Consider the following 10,480-nt stretch of genomic DNA (forward strand, 5'->3'; position numbering starts at 1 on the left):
TATTTATTCAACATTCATTCAGATGGAGGTATGTAGAGGGAGGGTAGATGGCTGGGCCTGTGCTAACAGCACTGGACCTCTCTTTTCTGTCCTCAGCAAGGTTTCTCTGCCCAGACATGCAGGATTTCTTCAGCAAAGCAAAAGCCCTGCAGATTACCAGATCCATCCTCTCCTAAAGCCAGAGGGACCATGAGACATTAGTACCTGAGCATCACCTCTCTCCAAGTGATTTATCAAAGCTTTATTTCCAATCACATACTGAGTTTTGATAAAACAGTTTTATTCTTTGGTTTTCTTCTTCTCCTTTTATTTCCTGTGTGTTTTGAGGCCTCAGCAGTTGAGCTGGTTCACCTTGGAATCTGACTCTGACAAGCAAAAGGAAGCAGAGTCTGATCATCTTTCCAGGTAATACAAGAGTGTTCCTGCAAAGTGAGCCTCTGAAGCTTTGGAGGGGAAGTGTATTAGTCTGTTTTGCGTTGCTACAAAGGAATACCTGAGACTGGGTGATTTATAAAGAGAAGAGGTTTATTTGACCTATGGTTCTGCAAGCTGTACAAGAAGCATGGTGCCAACATCTGCTTCTGGTGAGGACTCAGGAAGCTTCCACTCATGGCTGAAGGCAAAGGGGAAGCCGGCATCACATGGCAAGAGAGGGAGCAAGACAGAGGAGGGGGTGCTTCAGGCTCCTCTAAACAACCAGATCTCGTATGGACTCACAGAGTGAGAACTCACTCATTACTTCAAGGACAGCACCATGACATTCATGAGGGGTGCGCCCACATGACCCAAACACCTCCCACTAGGCCCCACCTCCAACATTGGAGGTCACATTTCAACATGAGATTTGGAGGTGGCAAAACATGCAAACCATACAGGGAGGGAGGAGCAGGGTGGTGGATACAGCTGCACAGACTGGGAAATGGGCCAGAAGCAGCTTTCCGGCTTGTGTAGGTGCTAGGAAAGACAGGCTGGTAAGACACAGAATGCCTTTCGGTCTCCAAGCGTCCAGCATGGTCTAGATCAGATCTGCATATAAGGTCATCTTATCAGAAGGGTTCTTTGAGTTCTGGAAACCACACTCTGCCCCTCCACTTTCACATCTGGAATATCAGGACAATATTTGACATGTAGCATACATCGGTTTTGGAGCCTAGGAAATTCCCACCTACCTTCTTCCACCCACTACACTCCTTTCTGTTCCTCCTGATGCTAGGCTTGTTCCCGCCTCCGAGCCTTCACACTGCTAGCCGTTACCTATGCCTGGAATGCTCTCCCCTGGTGTCTAATCTGCCTGATGCTTCCTCATCCTTCAGGACTGAGTTAAATGTCCCCACCTCAGAGAAGCCTTCGCTGACTGCCTTTGCTCCTCCTGGGCCTGGTTGCCCCTAGACCCACTCTCTGCCCCCCAACACTTAGTTCTATCCTGCAGGAGCACTGGCTTCCAGCAGAGAGCAGCTGCTGGGGACCACTGACAGGAGACTGGGAAGACAAGGAAAAAGCCCTCTCCTCTCTGTCCCAGGTGGCTTCTTAGGTAGCGGCTATGTCTTCATGGTTCCAGCTTCTGCAGAGTGGCGTCCGAACCTGGCTTGGGAAATACCGCTTTTCCTTTTGCCCCTCCGGTCCAGGCATGATTGCAGCAATTCAGTCACTTGTCCGGGTTCCACTCCTAATTCTAGTTCTTTTGCTATTTTCACCACATCTGCAGTGACTTCTCCCACTGAAGTCTTTAACACTTCAAAGGCATCCTTGAGGGTTAAAGTCAACTTCTTTCAAACTCCTGTTAATCTTGATATTTTGACCTCTTCCCTGGAATCACAAATGTCCTTAACGGCACAAGAATGGTGACTCCTTTCTAGAATGTTTCCAATTTGCTTTGCCCAGATCCATCAGAGGATCTCTCTGTAGCAGCTATAGCCTTACAAATTGTATTTCTTAAATAATAAGACTTGAAAGTTGAAATGACTCCTTAATCTATGGGCTGCAGAATGGATGCTGTGTTAGCAGGCATGAAAACAACTTAATCTCTTTGTACATCTCCATCAGGACTCTTGAGTAACCAGGTGCATTGTCAATGAGCTGTAATATTTTTAAGGGAATCTTTTTTTTTCTGAGTAGTAGGTCTCAACAGTGGACATAAAATATTCAGTCAACCATGCTGTAAATAGATGTGCTGTCATCAGGCTTTGTTGTTGCATTTATACAGCATAGGCAGAGTAGATTTAGCATAATTCTTAAGGGCCTAGGATTTTTGGAATAATAAACTAGCATTGGCTTCCACTTAAAGTCACCAACTACATTAGCCCCTAACAAGAGGGTCATTTAGTTATTTGAAGCTTTGAAGCCAGGCATTGACTTCTCTCTAGTGATGAAAGTTCTAGATAACATCCTGTTCCAATAGAAGGCTGTTTTGCCTACACTGAAAATCTGTTGTTTAGTGTAGCAACCTTCATCAATGATCTTAGCTAGATCTTCTGGATGACGTGCTGCAACTTTTATATCAGCATTTACTGCTTCACTTGCCCTTTTAAGTTATGCAGATGGTTTCTTTCATTAAACCTCATGAACCAACCCCTGCTAGCTTCCAACTTTTCTTCTGAAGCTTCCTCACCTCTCTCAGCCTTCATAGAATTGACAAGAGTTAGGGCGTTGCTCTGGATTAAGCTTTGGCTCAAGGGAATGCTGTGGTTAATTTGACCTTCTATCCAGACCACTCAAACTTTCTCCATATCAGCAATAAGGCTGTTTTGCCTTCTTGCCACTTATGTGTTCACCGGAGTAGCACTTTCAATTTCCTTCAAGAACTTTTCCTTTGCATTCTCAACTTGGCTAACTGGTGCAAGGGACCCAGCTTTCGGTCTCTCTTGGCTTTTGATAGGTCTTCCTCGCTAAGCTTAATCAATTCTAGCTTTTAATTTAAAATGAGAGGCATGCAATTCCTCCTTTCATTTGAACACATAGAGGCCATTGTAGGGTTATTAATTGACCTAATTTCAATATTGTTGTATCTTTGGGAACAGGGAGGCCTCAGGATGAGAGTGATGGGGGAATAGCTGGTCAGTGGAGCAGTCAGAACACACACAGTATTTATTAAGTTTGCCATCTTGTATGGGTGTGGTTTATGGCACCCCCAAACTTTTACAATAGTAACATCCAAGATCACTGATTATAGATCACCAACACCAACACAGACATAATAACAATGAAAAAAAAAGGTGTTTTTTTTTTCTGAAATGGATTCTAGCTCTCTCGCCCAGGCTGGAGTGCAGTGGTGTGATCTCGGCTGACTGCAACCTCTGCCTCCTGGGTTCAAGAGATTCTTGTGCCTCAGCCTCCTGAGTAGCTGGGATTACAGGCACCCACCACCACACTCGGCTAATTTTTGTATTTTTAATAGAGAAATGGCCTCGAACTCCTGACCTCAAGTGATCCACCTGCCTCGGCCTCCCAAAGTGTTGGAATTACAGGCATGAGCCACCGCGCCTGACCAATAATAAAAATGTTTGAAGTATTGTGATCTCGCTGCTGTTTCCCCACTTGTGCCCAGGCAGTGGGGTTCTGCAGGAGATCTTCTCTGTGCCACCCCTCTTCCCTTGCACCCTCTATGGCCACATGTGAAACACCTTTGACAGGCTCTTCTTGAAGGAAGTACAGCTGCCCAAGCTGAACATAGGCGGTTGTCTGGTCTTCCCCTCCATGGGCACCTACATGTCCTCATTTCATTCAGTTAGTGGCCCCTGCGTTGTTCTAGAAAAGGGTTTGGATGAACTATAGGTGCCTTCTCTAGTGGTGAGAGCTCTGGCTTTTGGAACAAATCCAGGCTCTGCCACATACTAGCAGTGTGGTCAGAGCCTCAGTTTCCCCCCCATGAAGTGAGGATGATATGAGTATCCCCCTTGCAGGGTTGTTGAGAGGGTTAATGCAGATAATGCAAATCCTTGCTGAACATCAGTCCGTGTCCAGGGCCCTGCCTCTGGCAGGCCCTGATCCTGGCCTGACCCTCAGAGGCCGCCCCTGCCTCATGGTCTGGCTGTCCTCAGAGAGCACACACAGCATCTGACCATAGCCAATGGGCCAGGTGCAGGGTGTGCCTCAGAACTCACCTTGGCCTTGAGAAGCCCCCAGGTTGGAAGGTGTGATGAATGAGGTGTGGATCCAGCCAATTCTAAAATAGAGCAGATGCTACAGCATGTCTCCCAGGCACTTTAAAACTTCAAAACTACTATTTGGGGAGTTCTGAGCTCAGAAAGAGAATGTGCCCTACAAGGATGGACATTGTCAGAGATGGGGGTAGGTGCACATTAGGATGACCAGCCACATCCCTGCAGTGCAGGGAGGGCAGTGGGCCCTAGAGGCTAAGACCACCTCCATCCTGTCCCCTTTATAAACTTCACCTGCTGAGGGAGTTATCTGAATGACAGCCTCTGCAAACAATCCTCCCCATCTGCCAGAGTCAGCCCCACCAATTTTGCTGCTACCTCCTCAGCTCAGCCAAGGCCAGAAGGAATCATTCAGCACCCTTGGGCTGAAGAGAATTCTCCCTCAGACATCTTAGGAGCAGGGGTGAACTGCAGATGCTACCCATAGAAGCCAGAGGGGCCTTCAGGCTTCAATGTGTTACTCATCTGGTACCCTCCCAAAGCCTGCAAATTAGAAGTAAAAACATCCACCCTTACCCCTCAGAAGTGTTTGGAAGTACAGATATGAGTGAACTTTAGGGAAAACATAACATTTTATTCAGATGCAAGAGATTCTGGTGTGTTTTGTTTGCCCTATGGGTACTGTCTTATGAGATTGTGGATATCCATCCATCCATCCATCCATCCATGCATGCATCCACCCATCCATCCATGCATCCATTAATCCATCCATCTATGCATCCATTTATCCATCCATCCATTCATCTATGCATGCATGCATGCATCCATCCATCCATCCATCCATGCATCCATCCATCCATTGATCCATACATCAATCCATGCATCCATTTATCCATTCATGCATCCATCCATCCACCCATGCATCCATCCACCCATCCATCCATCCACGCATGCATCCATTTATCCATCCATGCATCCATCCATCCACCCATGCATCCATCCACCCATCCATGCACACATCCATTTATCCATCCATGCATCCATCCATCCACCCATGCATCCATCCACCCATCCATCCATCCATGCATCCATGCATCCATGCATCCATCCATCCATCCATCCATCCATCCGTCCATCCATCCATGTATCCATTTATCCATTCATACATACATCCATTCATCCATCCGTGGATCCATGCATCATCCATTCGTCTTTGCATGAATGCATGCATGCATCCATCCATCCATCCATTCATCTGTTCATCCATCCATCCATCCATGCATCCACCCATCTATCCATTCATTTATCCATCCATGCATCCACTTATTCATCCATGCATCCATGCTTCCATTTATCCATCCATGCATCCCTCCATCCATCCATTCATCCATGCATCCATCCATGCATACATACATCCATGCATCCATCAATCCATCCATGCATGCATCCATCCATCCATCTATCCGTCCATCCATGCATCCATTCATTCATCCATGTATCCATGCATCCATCCATCCATCCATCCATCCATCTATGCACGCATGCATCCATCCATCCATTCATCCTTCCATCCATCCACGTATCCATGCATCCATCCATTCATCTATGCATGCATGCATCCATCCATCCATCCATCTATGCATGCATGCATGCATCCATCCATCCATCCATACATGCATGCATTCATCCATCCATCCGTGAATGCATCCATCCATCCATGTATCCATTTATCCATCTGTGCAACCATCCATCCATCCATGTATCCATTTATCCATCTGTGCAACCATCCATCCATCCATTTGTTCATCCATCCATGCATCCATCCATCCATCCATCCATCCATCCATGTATCCATTTATCCAACCATGCATCTATCCATCCATCCATGCATTCATCCATCCATCCCTCCATGCATCCACCCATCCATCCATGAATCCATCCATCATCCATCCATCCATCCATCCATCCGTCCATCCATGCATGCATCTATTCATCCATCCATCCATCTACTCAATAAAAGTGTGAGGTCCTAGTCTTCCTGGCACTGCTCCAGACACAGGTAACACATGGTGAACAAGATGGGTGAGAACCCACACGTGTGCAATTTACCTTCCAGTTGGGAGAAGACGGCATAAAAAAACATATAAAGAAACGATGAAGTGGAAGCATTGGTGCTGTGAAGAGAAATTAAACAGGATGAAGGGATAGTGAATGGTAGAGGGCGGGGCTACTTTAGGTAGAGGGGTCAGGGAGGCTTCTCTGAGGAGAAGAGACTTGAAGGGAAGAGGGAGGGGCTGTGCGGTTGGCTGGGTCGCAGCTACAGGCATTGAAACAGCAAGTTCCAAGGCTGGAATGGAGACTGTACCAAAAAAAGGGGGGGCGTCAAGGAGTCCTGAGTGGGTGAGCAGAGTGAGTCAGAGGGAAGTGTAAGGAGATGAGGCAGGAGAAGGGTCCCCACTGCTCCTGTCAAGCCTTGTTGTGTCGGGACTTGAACTTTATTCTAAGCAGGTGAATGCGGTGCATGCAAGAGAGACAGAGAGAATGTGGCAGGACCAAGGAGGAGGCTATGCCACTTATGTCACTCCTGGCAAAAATAAGGGGGCATGGAGTAGGCTGTTTGTGGTGCAGATGGTGAGAGCAGTCAGGTCCAGCACAGATTTTAAAGGTTGGACCCAGAGAATTTGCTGCAGAATCAGATGTGGGGTGTAAGGCAGAGAGGAGTCAAGGGCAACTTCAGGATTTGGGGCCGGAACTGCCATTAGACAGACAGGGACACTGAGGGAGAAGCAGGTTAGGTGGGATTAAAATCAAGAGTTCAAGTTAAGTTTGAGCAGCCTGTTAGACCTCCAGCGAGGGCCAGATAGAAGAATCTGGTTTCCAGGGAGAGGTCAGGATGAGAGATACACACGTGGGAATGATTGGCATTGGGTGGACTTTATATTCTCTGGGTCAGTGAGACAGCTGGGAAGTGACCACGGATAGAGAAGAGACAAAGTCACAGAAACCAAGAGAGGTAATGTTGCAAGGACGGAACACTCAACTCTCAAATGCTGCTGAGACGTGGGCTGAGGGCTGAGAATGGAATTGGGAAGAACCGAGGTCACTGGTGATCCTGAGGGTTTCAGTGGCAAGGGCAGGTGGACTGCAGTGGGGCCCGGTGGGGATGGGTGGAGCATGGGCCCCTCTCCCGGAGAGTTGCACTGTAAACGAGGGCAGACATATGGGAGTGCAGCTAGAGGGAGGGAACGTAGGGTCAAGGGAGAGTTTATTCTGAATGAGAGAGATCACAGCTTGTTTTTAGGCTGACGGGCATGATCCATAGAGGGGAAAGTAATTAAGATGCAGAAGAGAGGCCGGGGGTGGTGGCTCACGCCTGTAATCTCAGCACTTTGGGAGGCTGAGGTGGGTGGATCATTTGAGGACAGGAGTTCGAGACCATCCTGGCCAGCATGGTGAAAACTCGCCTCTACTAAAAATAAAAATAAAAAAAAATTAGCTGGGTGTGGTGGAGGGCACCTGTAGTACCAGCTACTTGGGAGGCTGAGGTAACAGAATCGCTTGAACCCTGGAGGCAGGGGTTGCAGTGAGCTGAGATTGTGCCACTGCACTCTAGCCTGGGCAACAAATTGAGACTCCATCTCAAAAAAAAAAAAATGCAGAAGAGAAAGGTGAGACTTGCCAGGGCAAAACCCAGGGTGGTGAAAGGGCTTGGCACCCTGTGCATGAGGGAGGATGTGCCCTCAGTGTGTACCTCTGTGGTACCTGGGTGGTGCTGGTTGGTGGAAGATTTGGCATCCTGAGAATGCGGCATTTTCGTCTGATTCTCTTTTCTCAGTGAGATAAGAACCAAGGTCACAGCCAATAGCCAGGGGGCAGGAGGGGGTCTTGGTGAGGACTCGAGGAGAAGAGGGATGGGGGTGGGAGAGTTAATGGGCCGGTGAAGCCTGGTTGGGTTGCCGGAAGCACAGGGGCCCATTCCAGGTTTGTGGGGTCACCTTGGAGTGAGGCCAGTCATCTGATGTACCTTGTCCTCAGCCACATGCAGCTGCGTGGGTGCAGCAGCAGAATGGGTGGAGGGCTTTGGGGAAGAGCCAACGTGGGCGGGGGGCGTGGCTTGGAGTATGAGGTGGCCGTGGGCTCCCTGCAGGCCCAGGCTCCATTTACGGCCAGCTGCCTGCTGTCCTCGCCCTGCTCCGGCATGCTGTCTTTCCACATCCGTTACCCACTGCGCGCTCATAATGCTCCCACTTTACAGAGGCCATTTACTCTGGCCACCTAGTAGTTGGTGGCAGAGTTGGGATTTGAATCCAAATGGAGGTTCATTGTTCTCCATTCAGGGTAGCAGGGGCACGCGTGCTGTGTTTAAGAGAGACTTGCATGCCTCGTGGTGGAAATAAACTTTGGTGGATTAAACTTTAGGTATTTTGCGCCCTGGTTGGGCCAGGCTTTGTCCCAGTTCGACCACAGTGACTTACTGCCACCTACTGGCCATTCTCAGTGTTGCACCCACGTAGGATTTGCTCACGGTCTGGGTCTAACCATGCCTGGTTCAAAGGGGAGGACCGGAGCTCTTATCTCTTTGACAAATCAGACAAACCAGGAAACAGAGGTCCAGAGAGGTGACTTTAAGCTTTCATCTGCACTTGCCTACCCCATCTATTCAGTTGTTCATTCGTTCAATAAATATTTCTTGGAAACCTACTATGTGCTAGGTGCTGGGGCTCTGCAGGGAATGAGACAGCAGAGAGCGCTGCTCCGTATAGCTGACATGCCCTGTAGGGGAGCGGGAGGGAGGGACACACCATCAACAAGTAAATCAGTGAGAGGATGAAAGATGGCGATGGGTGCCGGGAAGGAACAAGGAGACAGCGACTGGAGAGGGTGGTCAGGAGTTGCCAGTGGAGGGAAGACCTGAAGGGTGAGAGGGACGGGGAAAGACACCCTAGGAAGAGGGAGCAGCGTCACAAAGGCCCTGAGAGGCTGAAAGGTTTGGGCGGGTTCCAGGAACACAGGCGGCCAGGGAGGTGGAGCCCACACCTCAACACACAACTACCCGTGAAGAACGTGGAGCGATCCGTGTAGATCCTTGTAGAAGGTTCTCTCAGAGGGCCATGTCACTGACCTGTCAGTCAGCCCACAGCCTCCTCCCAGTCCCCAGATAGCTGACCACTCCCTCCTTGAAATTCTCTCCTCTCTCAGCTTGTGCAACACCAACCTCCGGTGGCAGGAAAAACTATTATTATTCTCTTGTGAAAATTAAAACTTAACCATCAACATAGAGCTGTTACTGGTTTGAAGGAAGCCATTGACGCTGTGTCAAAGGCTAGAGCAGAAAACAGTGGCATGCAGTGTCAAAGGTCAAAGTCAACACTTCTCGGACTGGCACAGGGAAGGTAGGTCAGGACAGAGTCAGTCTTGCTTGCAGCTGTCACCATGTTATAAGCGTGTTGATGGCCCTGTCTGCTGCTAGTGGTGAGTCATTCTTGCAAATAAAGTGACTATTTATAAGTTTATAGATATGAGTATGCTTTGTTCAAATCCTACGAGTAGTGTTCAAGAAATAAGGTGTGGGAGTAAAATAAGTCTGTGATCCAGTAAGTCCATTGGCAATTCCCATATGTTACTCAAATGCTATCCAATTAGCTGGTATTTTCCAGTGTGTGAATATTTGCTATAGGCTATGGTTCTTTGTAATGCAAAATATTTTCATCCTTAAAAAGGAGAAAGTTAAGCCTGGACAACATAGTGAGACCCCATTTGTACAAAAAATAAGAAAAAATTAGCCCAGCATAGTCACGCATGCCTGCTCTCAGCTACGCAGGAGGCTGAGGCAGGAACATCGTGATCCTGAGAGTTCAGAGGTTGGGGGGAGCCATGATTGCTCCACTGCACTCCAGCCTGGGTAACAGAGCATGACCCTGTCTCAAAAAAAAAAAAAAAAAAAAAAAAAGAGAGAGAAAGTTATATGAAGCAACATGTACCCTCATACCCAACCTGAAGATGTGATTAGACACAATCTTATGAATTCAACTAACATCAATGCAAAATGAAATAAAATTTCCTATGTTTGAATTATTTGTCATAAGAACAAAGATCAAGACTATTGGATAGGGCAGTTAATACTTTGAGTGTTTTAAATTTTCCTTGTAAGAATAACACTTTTTTCTGATAGATGTTCAAAAAAGAGTAACTTAAATAGCAAACATTTGGCCAGGTGCAGTGGCTCATGCCTGTAATCCCAGCACTTTGGGAGGCTGGGGCGGGTGGATCATCTGAGGTCACGAGTTCAAGACCAGCATAGCTAACATGGTGAAACCCCGTCCCTACTAAAAATACAGTAATTAGCCAGGTGTGGTGTCAGGTGCCTGTAATCCCAGCTACTT

The 10,480-nt window shown here is 47.8% G+C and overlaps 3 annotated features.

The window, feature by feature from the left end:
* Positions 8,498-8,617: a silencer, noted in NCBI's record as "silent region_570". NCBI's record gives its function as "represses an Ori minimal core promoter by ATAC-STARR-seq in GM12878 lymphoblastoid cells {active_cell/tissue: GM12878}" and the evidence as "EXISTENCE:reporter gene assay evidence [ECO:0000049][PMID:35858748]".
* Positions 8,688-8,927: an enhancer, noted in NCBI's record as "active region_644". NCBI's record gives its function as "activates an Ori minimal core promoter by ATAC-STARR-seq in GM12878 lymphoblastoid cells {active_cell/tissue: GM12878}" and the evidence as "EXISTENCE:reporter gene assay evidence [ECO:0000049][PMID:35858748]".
* Positions 9,598-9,667: an enhancer, noted in NCBI's record as "active region_645". NCBI's record gives its function as "activates an Ori minimal core promoter by ATAC-STARR-seq in GM12878 lymphoblastoid cells {active_cell/tissue: GM12878}" and the evidence as "EXISTENCE:reporter gene assay evidence [ECO:0000049][PMID:35858748]".

The sequence above is a fragment of the Homo sapiens genome, chromosome 1 (genome assembly GCF_000001405.40).
Source record: "Homo sapiens chromosome 1, GRCh38.p14 Primary Assembly".
Taxonomy (NCBI): Eukaryota; Metazoa; Chordata; class Mammalia; order Primates; family Hominidae; genus Homo; species Homo sapiens.